This window comes from Homo sapiens, chromosome 11 (assembly GCF_000001405.40).
Source record: "Homo sapiens chromosome 11, GRCh38.p14 Primary Assembly".
Classification (NCBI taxonomy): Eukaryota; Metazoa; Chordata; class Mammalia; order Primates; family Hominidae; genus Homo; species Homo sapiens.
In genome coordinates, this window is record NC_000011.10 from 26717599 (window position 1) to 26732391 (window position 14793).

Consider the following 14793-nt stretch of genomic DNA (forward strand, 5'->3'; position numbering starts at 1 on the left):
AAATCCCACTGCATATCAAGGCATTTAAATCAGTTGGCTATTGCTATATAACACTCGCCTCCAAACTCATTGGCTCAAAAACCAAAAATTTATTATTTCTCATAACTCTGAGGTCAGGCTGGGTGATCTCTCTGGTTTCATCAGGACTTTCATGTAGCTTCAGTAACTTGGAAGATCAATGGAGAGAGGTCTGACATGGCCTCACTCACAGGTCTGGTAACTTGTATTGGCTGTTGGCTAGGTGTCTCTGTTCTCTATGTGTCCACTGCTGCTCCTGAAGCTAGATCAGCTATGCCACCTTCCTTACATAGCAGTATCAGGGCAGCATTCCAAGAGGACAAAGGCAGAAGCTACAAGGCTCAGAAGGCCTAGGCTCCAAGCTCACAGAACATCACTTTGGCTACATTCTGCTGGTCAAAGCAAGTCACAAAACTGGCCAAAGTTCACAGGGTGGATAAAGAGACTCCACCTCTTTCAGTCTTTAGTATTTAAAAAGACCCTAGAAAGCATACCTTTCAATAACTACTAGAGAATGGAGGCTGAAGAAAGAAACAGAAACTCCAGATACTATAGACAGATTAAGTGGTATAAATTTGAAGATAGCAACAACAATGATCATAATAATGCAACACTCTTACATAGTATTTACTATTTGCCAGGCTCTGTTAAAAGTATTTGTATACAATAAATCATTTACTCCTCACAGACATCCTTTGAGATAGATGTTTTTATTACCACTATTTTACACATGTGAAAACCAGGTATATAAAAGTTAAGTAATTTACGCCAAGGTCATGCAGCTAGCAAGTGGCAGAGCTGACACTGAAAGCCAAGTCAACAGACTTTAGAGTCCATAGTCTTTTTTATTTTATTTTTTTAAAGACAGAGTCTCACTCTGTTGCCCAGGTTGGAGTGCAGTGGATCTCGGCAGTTCACTGCAACCTCCCAGGTTCAAGTGATTCTCGTGCCTCAGCCTCTCGAGTAGCTGGGATTACATGTGCGCCACCATGCCTGGCTAATTTTGTGTGTGTGTGTGTGTGTGTGTGTGTGTGTGTGTGTGTGTGTTGTTTAGTAGAGATGGAGTTTCTCCATGTTGGCCAGGCTGGTCTCGAACTCCTGACCTCAGGTGATCCACCCAACTCAGCCTCCCAAAATGCTGGGATTACAGACGTGAGCCACCACGCCTGGCCTAGAGTCCATACTTTTAACTTGCATGCCATAATGCCAATTTTTATAAAGCAAGAGGTAATCCCAAAATAACCTTATATCTACTTTACACACTCTGGATTACTTACTATTAGGTCACTAAAAAGTTGAAAATATGTAGAGGCAAAAATAGTAAATATTTTAAAAACAATTTAGTAAATTAAATTCAATGAAGTCCTTATATTTTCAATACTTGTACTAATTTATTAATTTAAAAAGAGAATCAAATCTCCTCAGTTACATAATTGCAATTGGTTTAGTTGTTTTTGCAGTAACTAGGCCATTTTACTAAAACCAGTTATGGCTAAGCATGTAATGAGCAGCACATATGGAATAGACAGATTGTTCAAAGTAAGTAAATTGTTCAATAATTTTAAGACAGTGTTTTTATTTCATTTAATTTCTGGAAAATGTGCTAATTTATAGTGTGTGTATAACTTTTTATTGTAAAGTTACTGTGCACTAAGGTAATACTAATATGTGCAGTAGTTTTTGAGCATTACGGCATTAAAATATCATGCAGTGCAGAGTGAAATTACTCATTGTATATGTGCCTTTACACACTGAAAGACATCTGATGTCTCTGCCCTCAACTCCCTAAACATCAGTAGTGACTCCTAATCATTGTGACAACCAAATATCCTACAAATATCCCAAGTGCTCCCTCTGTGTGGCACTAGCTCCACTGAGACCCCTGCTGTATATAACTGGGCACTCCCATCTCTTTGATCTTATCTTTTACCATTGTCCCCTTTGCTCTCTCCTCTCCAAGCACACTGATTTCTTTGCTGTCCTTCAACATGCCAGTCACACTCCTTTTCTAGGGCCTTTGCATCTGTGACTACTTCAGCCTGAGATGCACTTCCCTTGTCTGGTGCAATTATTTGCTTTCTTCCAGTCTCCATTTAGACGTCTTATTTTACTTGAAGTTTCATATGATCACCCTCTATGAATATGGACATTCTCTACTCATACCAGCATTCCTCCTCTCTATCTCATCCTATTTACTTTACTTTTTCTCCATTTGTTTTTGTAGGACAGGACAGCATAGTTATTTAGCATATGATATCTAAAGTTAGACTGCCTGGTTTGAAAAACTGTTACTTGCTAGCTTTATGTCACTTAGCAAGTTACTTAATTCTATATGCCTCAGTTTTCTAGTCTGTTAAAAGGAGGTGACAGTACCTGTCTAAAAAAGATTGTTTTAAGGCCAAAAGACTTAACACACATAAGGAACTTAGAGAAGTACTTAGCACATAGTTAAATACCATATATATTTGTATTATGATTTTCTTACACAGTATATGTTTATTGACTGCCCTTCTCTGCTATGAAGTAAGCTCCATGACAGCAGGAACTTGGTGCAATGCTTTATGCCTAGGGCTACGAGAATGCCTAGAACAAGCTGGGTGTGGTGGCAAACTTCTGTAGTCCCAGCTACTTGGGAGGTTGATTCAGGAGAATCACTTGAGCCCAGGAGTTTGAGAACGGCCTGGGAAACATAGCAAAAGCCCCATCTCATAAATAAATAAATAAATAAATAAATAAGTAAATAAATACATGGAAAAAAAGAAGAGTGCCTTTTTAAGTATCTTAAGAGTAGATGCTTAATGAGTATTTACTGAGTGAATAGTCATAAAAATTACATTACATAAAACTATGGAATCAATAACACTTTTTAAGACTTCCTAAAAAGTGTTCATTTGCCTGAGTGACTTTTGAAGGCTAGAATAATGTTTTATACTCATATAGCTTACATATTTAAAAAAAAATAGGTCTCTTTTCAGTCTCCTGCAGTGACTTTAGGAATGATATTGGATAATGAAAATAAATACCTTATTAATAGAAACTTATGTTTGATCACATTTCTATATAGAGCATGCAAATTCAATTTTGAACATGATGTCTTCATTGAGAATCATTGTAAAGCCAAAACACCACTGCCTCATTTCCCTCACATTAAATAATTCCCATATTTGTATTATTTAGCAATTCCTTTCGTTAAAATGTTTTGTACTTTTCAAAAATGTTTCCATTTCCTCATTAAAAATTAGTCTTATTATAATTTGTATTAAAATGCCCTCTACTCTCTGACGGAAAGGCCACTAAGTAGAGATACAGAAAAAATTAGGTTCTCAGGTCACTTTACTATTCAAAAATCTTAACTAAGTCATTTATCTGTATCTCAGTTTTCTTAGCTGGAAAATTGCCGTACTCATGAGAAATGTTCTGTTTGCTTTTCAGAATGATGACGTTCACAATAATAAAAAATAACATCAGCCCTCTTTATTGCAAACCTCCTACAAATGAGGCCATACATTAAGTGCTCACATAGAGGTTCTCATTTGATCATTAAAATAGCCCTGTGGGATTGTCATCATTATTTTCCTTCTACAGATGGGAAAATAGATATGTCTGTCTCCAAAGCTTAGGCTTTTTACAAAAACATTTTAATGTCTTTCTCATAATGTGTAATTATCCTGAAAATCAGTGAGTGTTCTTCAACTACCAGGTGCTATCATCAAGAGGATGAGAAAAAAAAATTAGAGAAGAATGGAGAAATCATCTTACCTCATAAGTGCTGGTGATACCAGATCTGTAGAACACAGGGAGAAAGAGCTCTGATGTTAAGAGGATGACAAATAGGTAAGCAATGAAGAAGACTAGGAAGGATGCCCCAAAGCGGTAGACTTCAGAAGGGGTCCCCAGGACCGTGACAGCTGACATGAAGCTGGCTGTCAGAGACAAGCCGACAGGGCCAAAGCTCATTTGCCTTCCCCCAACCAGGAACTCTCGGGAAGTTGCCTTTTTTCTCTCCTTAATGGCAAAGAACACCCCAATTCCAGAGGAAATGAAAAAGAGGGCTGCAAATACAACATAATCCCAAACTGCAAAGTTCTTCACCTCCATATTGGAAAGTATGACACCAGAGAGTTTCTTTCAACGAGGTCTCAGGAAGAAGATGTTTCCAAAAGCAAAGTTCAGTACAGTGGATGCTTTGCTGAGAGGAGAGACTGTGATTCCCTGAAGAAAATGATTACCAGAGGCACTCGTGTGAATCTTCAGACACCAACGTGTACTTAGTGAAGATCTCAAAAGTTGACTTCAAAGAAGAATCTGGTGGTGGTATTGGCACCAAGAGATGAGAATTTGAAATCTGACCCTAGCTAAGAGCTGTCTGCTCCTCTCCTAAAGCATATGCCACAGAGAAGGAATTCAGATGTGTTCTGAAATTAATAACCACTGGGGGTGGAATGGACTGGCCAGATAACATGCTGTTTTATCTCTTAGATTTTTTTTAACTTAAGGTTAAACATTTCTGGGAAACATAGAATTGATAACAATTTACCACCTCAGCATTTTTAATTCGTGAGATGGAATCTGTAAAATGCAAACACAATCCTCAGCAGTGTCTTCCTCTTGAAGAAGGGAGAGTGAAGGCTGTGTGCCTGCAATTGTCTGAGGCAGTGGATGTGGAGAGAAAGAAGCAAAGGACTAGGAATTCAGAGACCTTTGCTCGAGTCCTGGCTCAACCACGAGAAAGCCATGAAACATTTCATAAATCATTTAACATTTCTGAACTTCACCTGGAACACAGGGATAATAAGACCTTACAAGGTCTTTAAAGACTTAAGTCTTAAACTTCCTGACTCTCTTTGTCTTGATCTGTAAAATGAAAGGTAATAATATGTACCCCATTGGCTATTATCTGTGCTTACAGCAGAGCACTCTGGAACATCATAGCTTTTCTTTCTTTATTCTAGGACCTAGAAAAATCAATTTGCCATTAATTAATAAATTATTTATAGCCTTCAACTTTATCTTGTCTTTCTCTTATTTTCACCAGGTTACTATCACTGTACCCACAGGCTAAGTTAGAATTAGGACCAGGACAAATTAGAGAAGGAAGGTAACAATCCAGTTATAAATTCCTGTTTCTGCTCTCTTTAGACTCTGTCAATTGTTCCAAAGTACCTCTAGTGCAATTTCTAATTTTGTTCATGCTTCTCCTCCTTCTTCAGTGGCCTTCTCCATCCCCACCTCTACAAAGCTTGTGTATTCTACAAGATCTAGTATGAGTTTTCTCTACTCTGTGAAGCTTTTCTGCCTCTCCACGTCAACTCCTGTAGAACGTAGCCTCCCTAGTACTCATTTTGTACTCAGCCATCATCTTGCCTATTTTAGGGAATCTCTATGTAACCGGCTACAGGAGTCTGTCAGCTGTTCAAATGACATTTCCTTGAAGACAGAAGCAAAGCTCTAGTCCATATACCCAATACATTATAGCCATTGTAGAAAATAAAAAAAATAATTTTTAGAAAGGAGAAAACTAAAATTATCCATAATGCCCAAAGACAGAAACATTTCCAGCCAAACAATAAAACAAAAAACGCTCTAATTTTGCTTTTCACATCTGGATAACTGAATAAATCTTTGCTTCATGAATTTGAATTAGACCAAAGAAAGGTTTAATTAGATAGCTAAAGTATGCTTTTAGTTACCAATAAAAATATGAAGACTCTCCCAAGAGCTGTCTGTGTCCTCTGTTTAAATTCCTCCACTAGATTTGGAGATTTGATATGATAAATGTTACTGCAAATCTTGGTCTTTAATATATTTACCTTAACCTGGGCTTTTAATTATTTGTATCATGAAGTATTCCAATTATATATGAGGTTTTTGTTGTGATCTCAGCAGAAAATCAGAACTTTTTTAGCTTTCAGAAACTTGACTCCTTTATAGTTTAATATTTACACTACCTAATGGTTAATATTCAATCTATAAAACATGTAATCCCCTTGTATAAGTCAGGTTAAGAATGGTTCAAAACATTATCATCAATAACTTTCTAAAGGTACATACTAGAAACCTATAACAAAAGAGTTAATGAGTACTGATGGTTTTAATTAAACTTTGTGTAGTAACAGTATTATCTGCATGACTCCAATTAGTCTTGAATTTTGAAGTGGTAGGGAGCAGATTGGTTAATACCTGGGATATGAAGAAACCTTTATGCCTCTTAGGAAAGTATTCCTTGCTTTCAACATTTTGTTGATTATAAGGCACAGCATCAATTCAGTAATTTAATTTTCAGTTATTTTCTACATATTTACCCTTTTCTCCCTTTGGTAGCATTCGTTGTCCTCAAACGCTCTTCTTAATTCCATAAAGACTCACTCCATGCAAAGTTCATGCAGATTGTAAAGCACAGCAGCAATTCATAACTTTTCAGGTGAAAAAAAAAAAACCCCAGTACATTCAATGACCTCATTAATTAGAAGGCACATTTCTATATCAGAAATGTTAATATAGCGAGAAGGAGGGAAAATATGCTTCTTCGACCTGAAGAAATCCCTGTAGCGCCTCTACCCTCTCTCATGTGCACAGAATACTGCCATTTGTATTTGACTCATTTAGTGTAAGGCTTGAGACCCTGTCAGAATATAAACACCATCACCTGTTACTCATACATGGCCTTAACAAGGTCCTGCTACTCAATTACTCACATGCTTAACAAGTTAAATTTGTAATTGCTAACATTAGTAGTCTCCGCAAGGTAAAATAGTTCAGCAATTTGCATGCAACAAGTTGTAATGGGAAAGAAAGAGTTTGATGATATCAAATGCTACCAAAAGAGAAAAAGGTAAAGAACTGGAAGAAATGGGGCATTAAAAACAAAACAAAACAAAACAAAACAAAACAAAACAAAACAAAAAACACCATTGTTGCAATGTTGCTAAGAGTGAACTCTGCACACCATGGTTATTTTGGCCTGGGATCAAAGAGAAGAAAATGCACATGAACAAGCCTTGGTCATTTGAGACTAGACTTTCACTAAATTGGTGTCTTCCTTCATCTGTTCTCAAAGCCAATGGGAGTAGGAGTGGTGTACAAGAATAAAATGGCTATTATTTTGCTCTATTTTTATTTTTTATTTCATTTTTTTTTATTTTTTTGAGACAGAGTCTCACTCTGTCGGCCAGGCTAGCGTGCAGTGGCTCGATCTCAGCTCACTGCCAGCTCCGCCCCCGGGTTCACAGCATTCTCCGACCTCAGCCTCCCGAGCAGCTGGGACTACAGGCGCCTGCCACCACACCCAGCTAATTTTTTGTATTTTTAGTATAGACGGGGTTTCACCATGTTAGCCAGGATGGTCTCGATCTCCTGACCTCGTGATCCGCCCGCCTTGGCCTCCCAAAGTGCTGGGATTACAGGCGTGAGCCACCGCACCCGGCCCTGTTTTTATTTTAAACTAGGAAGTGGCAAGATTAAAACTATGTTTCAGAAAAATTATTATAATAATTTTTACATATTTCAGTCCAATGAATATTAAGGATGGCTCAAAGAATTCCTCACAATGTGAATAAGCTGCTTAATTGAGATAGTGAAAGTAGTCCTCCCCATAGAGCTTTCTCTCAATGAGCATGCCTATCAAACAAATTCCTGGGAGGCAAATTGGTGATGCCAAACTATACTTTAACAGAAATTATGGGTTAAAAAAACAAACTGCAAAGCAACTGTGGCCATTGCCTCCTTCCAGGAGGAATTGAGTAATTCCTATCCTGAAGAGGATAATTCAATATAATGCTTACTTCTGCTTACAGAGATTGATAGGGAAAAAACCATGTCCAATAATTTTATCATAAAAGACAAAAGACTGCAAATCCAGAAGTTCTCCTCTTCCTGTAAGCTATAAAAGATATGGCCTACAACAGCGGCTTCTTGATTGGCTGATATCTTTATGAATATAGAAAGAGTTGATCTGATGAGCAGGTGGGGAAGATAAAAGAACTCTGCTTGCGAATAAACAGACCTTTAATTTTTTTTTTCTTTTTAGTCCATGGGAATGATATTGGAGACTTGTCATAGGAGTGAAGACAAAGAAGTGGCACAAAAATCTGGCTGGTGGCACGGACGTTTCTCAAAAAATATCCCATTGTAAGGAAGAGCTGATGAGATTTTAATAATGGGAATAACTCATATTAAATATTTTTTGTTGTGCTGTGCTGGGGGATAAATTCCTTCTTTACTCCCAGTGTTTAGGGAAAACTTGCTACATCATTGACATTGTATTGTATTTTATCATTAAATTAAAGGGAAAGAAGTTTGTGTTCCACTTTAGGCTCAAAATGGTGGTAGAGATGGATAACTGTTAGAGGAGGTAAAACTCACAAAGGACGTAGAGAATACAGCAGAAACAGAAATTGGAGAAAGATCTCCTGGGATCTTTACAGTCTTGAGGTTGAAGAGGAAAAGACCACTTGGTATTCGATTCTACCAAAGTCAGAAGGTTGAGCTTTCTTTTCTTTATTTTTCTTTTTTCTCTTCCTCTTTTCTCTCCTTCCTTCCTTCTTCCTTCCTTCCTTCCTTCCTTCCTTCCTTCCTTCCTTCCTTCCTTCCTTCCTTCCTTCCTTCCTTCTTCTCCCTCTCTATCTCTCAAAGGGAAAGGTAATCTGAGAATGCTGGAAGGTTGAAGAATTTGAGTTGAGGATTTGCCACTCCACTTTCATTCAAATACCCTTATTAGAAAAATGTTTGCCCTCCAAGGCTATTTGTGTTAAGTGGAAAACATTCTTTAGCCCCAACAAAAGACCAAGTCTCTTTTTACAGTCTCTTACTAAGGTATCTTGTGATTTTGGACATATCACTTAATTTCTCTGATTCTTAGTGGCCGCATTTGTAAAAATGAGAATATATCAGATTAATAGCAAGATAATTAAATCAACGTAAGTAATTAAATTACCTTTTCAAGTCTGCTCAAATGTCACCTTCCTTGACCACCCTATTTAAATTGCAAACCCTAACACTCAAAATCTCCCTTCACAGCTGTAAATTTTCTCCAAGAAATGTATCCTTTACTAATATACTATATATTTTAAATGTTAGCATCCCTCTACTGGAATGTAAGCCCCTAAAGGACTTTGTCTATTTTACTCTCCGATGTACTCTTAGCATCTAGAAGTTCCTATCCCATAGTAGACACTCAATAAATTAAAATAAATTACGTGAATTCTAGGAGTCTCTTCCATGTTTACAATTTATGTTTAATTCCTCTTTTACTGAAAAAAAAACCTAAGTTTTTCAAGCTTTTATTTAGATTGAAATATTTATCTATTCACAAACATGTTTCCATGAAAATAAAAACTGAATTTATATTCCATCCTATCCGATTCCTGTAATTCATTGTAACTAAATGTGACTGTGGCTAATCATTTATTCACATATTCTACAGACACTTAACAAATGTGAAAAGAGATGTTGACTCAAACTTTTAGGAGGCAAATTTCAGAGTCCACTTAGAAAGGTCAGCAGAGAACATTATTTAATATTAAAACAGACTAATGCCAGCACCATTCCACAGTAAACAAGTAGAACATTTAAGCAGAATATTCAGCTGGGAGGGCAACTGAGCGTGAGGTTCAAGGTCCTTAGCTAATTGTCTCATGGATCTCAATCATCCACTCCATTGTAGAATGGCAAAGGGGAAAACCAGCATGATCTACTATCGGCTCAATTTTGCTAAATAAGCATGAAGGGAAAGATGTCTTATTTAGTTCAGGCTTGTAGGGACTTAAACAGGACGTTTGAATAGGCCTCAAAAAAGGAAGAAATTCTCAAATACTTTATAAACAAATGGAACTTCAATTAAATTCAAACAAGATTTAATATTGAGTGATTTTTATTACTCAAATTCTTTGGAAATACACTTCACACAAGCTCAGAGGCAATTCTATCAGTTACCAGTGGAACTCTTCAGTCTTCCATTTCTTGGCAATTCCAGTGTTCTTTATGCCACCTTGGCCCATCACTAGGTATCACTCTGAATAAATGACTTTTGCATATTTTCCAAACTGAAAACCAGTGGATATTTGTCATCACTGGGAATACATAAATAAATGTAGCCCATTTATATGGTGCACATTATCACCCAATTGAGTCGCTGATAAAAAACTATGCGCTATAGTTACTACTGTTCAACACATTTTTGCAAGACTTTCTTTTGATACTACCATGATACGAGTAATTACGTTCTCAAGTGTTTAGTGGCAAATCAAAGACATTGCTATCCTTCTTTATAAGTGATCAAGCTGATAATAATGAAGGTCCAGCCTCAGGTCATTCATCTTCTTCAAGTGGTCAGAATTTTAGTGATGTTTGTGTGTGTTCATATATCTGAAAATTCTGAAAAGCCTTGATTTCTTCACTAAGTTGCCAGGCCCTGGAAGGTTTTGTTTTGGGGTCATGATGCATGGAAAATTACTCATAAATGGAGTTCCCATTAGAATTCAGCTTTTCAGGTGCCTATTTAGAAATTACTTCAATTAATGTGAAATGCTTTTCCTCATATTAAAATCAGACAAGTCTGAATTCAAGTTTCAGCTCAGCCATTTACCGACTTTGGGGAAAGTTGCTTTAACTCTTTGAGCTGAAGTTTCTTCATCGTGGAACTCAGGATTATACCTAATCCATAGACAAAGCATGGTAGGTGGAAAGGTACCAGAATAATTTAGCACAACTTTCCAGCCTACCTTTCTGACTATAGGCATACTTATACAAATCCTATGTAAAGTTTTTAGCTCCCTTTCTGGGTGGCTTGGATTTATTTTATTTTATGCATAGCTCTTTTTTAAATTGAAGGTTGCTCTTGATGGCCCTGCTTATGGTTTTCAGATACATTTTATGAACTTAAATGAAATGATACATGTCAACTGACTGATATGTACTTAGGTGCTCATTAAGTGGAAGCTCTTATTAAGAATGAAGACTGAAGGCATATGAATCAGATAAAGCCAGGCTCAAAGTTTTGCTTAGCCATTTGCCAACTTTATCACCTTGAACAAGTTACTTCATTTCTTTGGTAATTAGCCTACTCATCTTTAAAATGGAAATGGGACCCTTTTAACGGGGTTGTTGTGAGAATTAAAGATATGTGTCAACTACGTCATACAAGCAAGCATATCATAGGAATTTCAAAAATGCTATTGTTATTGCGTCTATCACATTTCAACATTTGCAACTTCCAATGCTATTCTGGAAAGAACAGAGTCTAGGAAAGTAAAACAGAAGCTACCATATTATCACCTATAATACTTCCTGACCCAGGAGGACAAAAGCCAAGTTTCTGATTTGGAGTTCCCTTGATATTTGCTCTATTCTATATCTAGAAATTCTGTATAATGTCTAGATTATGGAAATCCTCTCTATTTCATTGCACTGATGTAGTCCCTTGTTTTGTGTGTTGTTACATCATTTCTTTCTATCTTTTCAGATGATCTCCTTGCACCCTAGGGTGGAAATATTCTTACAAATGTTCTTACAAATGTGTGAAAAAAAATCTTTTTTCATCTTTGTTTTGTGATGCAGGGGTGTCTAAAAGAGAGAATACAGTCATGGGTTCTTAGCTTCTGTTTCTGATTAGGTCAGTAAAGCCCCTTCCTCATCCTTCTTTTCCACTTATCACTAGAGACAGAAACTAAAAACCATGGCTTCAGCATGCTAAAAGCCTAAAACAAAACAAAACAGAACAATAACAACAAAATAAGGTGAGTTGGACAAGCTTGGTAGGTATTTGCAGCCATTGTATCTTCTAAGTTTAACTTCAAGTTATTTTTATGCTGTGGAAACAAGAGTATGGCCCACTTTGCAAATGTTTTAAGCTTTCCCTAGTCAGCATTATTGCAGTCCACCTATGGAGCAACAGTGTTATGGAAAATCACAAACCAGAACTTGGAGAATCTGTAAAGAAAGCACATTTGGAAATGTTCTCGTTGTGTATATTTTAAAATTCTAGAGGATTAGAAAGAAAGATTAATGGGAAAGTGTACAATACCAGTACCTCCATGAGACAAACACAGGTTGGAGAAGCTATTTTCTACTTGTTTTTAAATATAACTATTTGTAGGACTGCCTATATGGGTGAGATTATGTTTATCTACTACATTCCTAATTCAGAATCCCACTTCTTGCCTCTGCTAAGTATATTTTCAAATTATTAGACTTCACTTGAGGTCTATGAGATGTTTAGGATAGCTGTGGTTTTTCTAATGAGAAAAGCATGGTTTATTAGAAAAAAATATTTATCAGGAGAGAAATACGATGAGATTTTTAATCATAATTACTTTTGATAACAATCTGAAGAAAATATATTGTGAGCCAAATACATGCACTGTTTTTTTTTTTAAGAAGTCATCATCAGTGTAAATTAAAAAGCTGTGTATTTTGAGCTTTCCTCAGAAAGCTATCCTTTCCTGAGAAAGGAGGGTTGAGATAGGGTGAGGAGGGCATAACTAATATTAGGAGGCCAAGGATATCACTGATTGGTCTCTTTCCTCACTTTGAGTATTTTTTTTAATATCAGGTCAAAAGAATGTGGAATTTGAAGTGAAAGAAACTGAGTTTGAGTCCAGTTCTACTACTAGTCTGCAAACTTAAGCAAAAGTATGCTTTGACCTCGAGCAAAACAAACAAGCAAAAAAACAAACCCTTTGAGCATCATAATCCTTACCTTAAAATAAAGATGATATTATTTACCTAGAGGGGATGTTTTGAGGCTTCCATACTATGATGTATTATAAACTGTAAATGCATTCTGTAAGGATACTTGGCATATGTAGTTAGGGCAAGGCAGGAAGAATAATAGAATTTTGGGCTTGGACATCAAATGTAAGTAAATTTCATTTCTGCTCTATTACTAACTATAAAATTTAGGCTGATTACTTAGTGTCTCTGAGCTTTATCTTTTATAAAATATGTTACCTTACACAGTAGTTATGAGTACCAAGATAACATAAATCAGTGCTCAGCATAGTGTCTACCACACAATAGTTTATCCATACATATTACTAGTAACAGTTGATTTCTTTTTTTTATACTATGGCCATATTAATATTGATGCTGATTTACTAGAACAAGCATTTGTTGAGTGGAAGCTATGTAAAAGATTAAAAGCTTATGCTGAGGAAGTGTGCAAAGGTAAATGGAACGTGATGTATATGCCCAAGATATCTACACTCTAGTAGGAGTGTGGAGCTGCAACGATAGGAGGGTCATCTATAAATAGTGGTATGATGTAATCTTTTATGATTCATCATCCTAACTGGGGACACGTTGACAGTGAAAAAAAGATCGTGCTATAATACTGAGCAGAGACATAAACTGAGACTGTCCTAAGCAAAAACCAAGACATATGGTCACTCTCTCTTGATGGGAGATGTATCAGACACTGGAATAAATTCAGAGAATAAATTTGGCTGACTTCCTGCAATTGCCTCAGGCTAACTTTCAGGCCAGTGATTGGTACTTTGTTTCTTATCATAGAAGTTTCCAGAATGTTCTGATACTCCAGCCCCCACTCTCTGGCAAAGTCTCCACTGGAGAAATGCTTGAGATCAAGAAAGGACTCATCCTATGACATCCTGTGGAAAAGCACCCTCCCACACACACAAGCATTCCCATCCAGGTGGAGGAAAACCCACACACTGCTGCTGATATGCTTGGATGCCCTGATTTCTGCCAGTAAACCTGACGTATTGATGCACTTACTTTTAGTCACCAAAGAAAGAAAAGGCCCCAAATGCCCATGAGATTAAATCAACCTCAAACACATACATACATATACACACACAGACACAAACACACACACACACACAACCAAATCATATGGTTTGGCTGTGTCCCCACCCAAACCTCACCTTGAATTGTAGTAATCCCTACATGTCAAGGGTGGAGCCAGGTGGAGATAATTGAATCATGGGTGCAGTTTCTCCATACTGTTCTTGTGGTAGTGAATAAATCTCATGAGATTTGATAGTTTTATACATGGGAGTTCCCCTGCACAAGCTCTCTCACCTGCCACCATGTAAGATGTGACTTTGCTCTTCCTTTGCCTTCCACCATGCTTGTGAAGACTCCCTAGCCATGTGAAACTGTGAGTCAGTTAAACCCATTTCCTTTATAAATTACCCAGTCTCTGGTGTGTCTTTGTTAGCAGCAATGAGAACGAACTAATACAGTAAATTGGTACTGATAGAGTAGGGTGCTGCTATAAAGATACCAAAACTGTGAAGTGACTTTGGAACTGGGCAATAGGCAGAGGGTGGAACAGTTTGGAGGGCTCAGAGGAAGACAGAAAAATGTGAGAAAGTTTGGAACTTCTGGCCAGGTGCAGTGGCTCAAGCCTGTAATCCGAGCACTTTGGGAAGCTAAGGTGGGTGGATCACCTGAGGTCAGGAGTTTGAGACCAGTCTGGCCAACATCATGAAACCCCATCTCTACTAAAAATATAAAAATTAGCCAGGCATGGTGGCAGGCACCTGTAATCCCAGCTACTCAGGAGGCTGAGGCAGAGGCAGGAGAATCACTTGAGACTGGCAGGCAGAGGCTGCAGTGAGCCAAGGTTGCCACCATTGCACTCCAGCCTGGGTGACAGAGCAAGACTCCGTCTCAAAAAAAAAAAAAAAAAAAAAAAAAAAAAAAAGAAAGAAAGTTTGGAACTTCCTAGAGACTTGTTGAATAGTATTGACCAAAATCCAAAATGCTGATAGTGATATGGACAATGAAGTTCAGGTAGAGGCGCTCTCAGATGGA

The 14793-nt window shown here is 37.2% G+C and overlaps 1 protein-coding gene across 7 annotated transcripts in view; it reads right to left on the reverse strand.

Annotated features, from left to right (window-relative positions):
* The window catches only part of SLC5A12 (solute carrier family 5 member 12), a 56370-nt gene extending 50579 nt beyond the window's left edge, over positions 1–5791 (reverse strand). For 4 of the 7 annotated variants that reach the window (NM_178498.4, XM_047426454.1, XM_006718156.4 and 1 more), the window contains exon 1: positions 3778–4462. In NM_178498.4, coding sequence (NP_848593.2) covers positions 3778–4116 — 339 coding nt within the window. In that variant the 5' untranslated portion in view covers positions 4117–4462. Of the gene's footprint in view, positions 1–3777; positions 4463–5708 lie in introns of those variants that run through there. The other 3 variants (XM_017017244.2, XM_011519920.3, XM_006718155.4) reach the window with 3 other exon arrangements.
* Positions 5792–14793: the final 9002 nt, after the last annotated feature.